Genomic DNA, 1,558 nt, shown 5'->3' with positions numbered 1-1,558 from the left:
GCATGCCTGGACCTCTAGCCTAAGGCTCCAGGGCAAACCAGAGGCGGAGAGCTGATGTTGAGGGTCTGCTTACTATGGAGCAGCATCCACTGCATCTTTCTTGGTGCCTGGCCACTCACTTACATCTTCTTCACTCCTGAGCATCATGGCAGGGATTGTTTTAATTTAATTCAAGCAGCATAGCTCAGGGAAAGGGGACATTTCAAGATGATTTATAATTTAGTATAAGCAAATTTGAGATATTTTCTTTAAATTGTATCCTCATACGGAAGACAATAAACAGAAGGGAGAAAGAGAAGGAAATAAAGGCTCTTAAAAAGAGAATGTGTTAGTTTGCCAGGGCTGCCGTAGAAAGTATCACAGACTGGTGATTCTGATGATTTAGACAACAGAAATTTGTTTTCTCACAGTTCAAGAGGCTGGAAGTCCAAGATCAAAGTGCCAGCAGGGCTGGTGTCCCCTGAGGCCTCTCTCCTTGGCTTGCAGGTGGCTGCCCTTGGGCCATCTCTGCACATGGCCATCCCTGTGTGCACACACAACCCCAGTGGCTCTCTATTAATCCAATTTCCTCCTCTTAGGGCACTTGTCAGGTTGCATTGGAGCCCATTTGAACGGCCTAATTTTAACTTAATCCTCTCTATGAAGGCCCTATCTCAAATACAATCACATCCTCAGGTCCTAGGAGTCAGGGCTCCAACACTTTAATTCTGGGGAGACACAATTCAGCCTCTAACAGAGAAGGAAGGGGATGTGGTACCAGTGAAAACTATCCTTTCCTGGGCACAGGACGACCGCTGAGTTCCAACAGCATGTGGGAAATTACATGTTTCGTAGGTGAGGTGCAGAGGGCCCCTCTAAGGAAGGCCCTGGGCCCTGGTGAGCTCTGCTTTCCTCACTGCCTGCCTTGTTCACAGCACACCCCACCTTCCTGATTCTCCTGAAGGTCAGGCTGTGGCTCTTCCTGGGCAGTTGCTGGCCCATGCAACCACATTCACGACTTGGACCCTTCAACAGATGTCCTGGGTGGATGTTCTTGAGCTTGGCAGCCCAGCATCCACTGGCTGCTTTGAGCAACACTGCCTTCGCTCTCAGCCCTTCCTGCCAGCAGTCAGCCCATTTTCTCAGAACTACCTGAATTATTTTTAACTCATGATTTTGAGCCCAGGTGTGGTGGCTCATGCCTATAATCCCAGCACTTTGGGAGGCCAAGGCAGGAGGATCACTTAAGGCCAGGAGTTTGAGACCAGTGTGAGCAACATAGCAAGACCCTCATCTCTATAAATAAATAAATAAACCCATGATTTTTAAAAATAGCCACCAACAAGGCTTTCTGGATTTCTGTGCCCATGGGTTTATTCTCTGACTGACCTGGCTAAGATGCTGAACTACTTTAAAAATGTCAAACGCTGAGGACTCCAATGGTAAAAGTCAAGCAGGCTTTATTTCTACATGCTGGGCAATGTTGTTTTCCTGAATGTCTATCAAAGTAGATGAGCAATGCCCAGTTGCATGTCTCCTTCTCGTTTGAAAATGTCTGTCTTTTGTGTCAGCTAACAAG

This window comes from Homo sapiens, chromosome 6 (assembly GCF_000001405.40).
Source record: "Homo sapiens chromosome 6, GRCh38.p14 Primary Assembly".
NCBI classification, from domain to species: domain Eukaryota; kingdom Metazoa; phylum Chordata; class Mammalia; order Primates; family Hominidae; genus Homo; species Homo sapiens.
The sequence above is the reverse complement of the archived record's forward strand: the minus strand, read 5'-3'. Positions refer to the sequence as shown.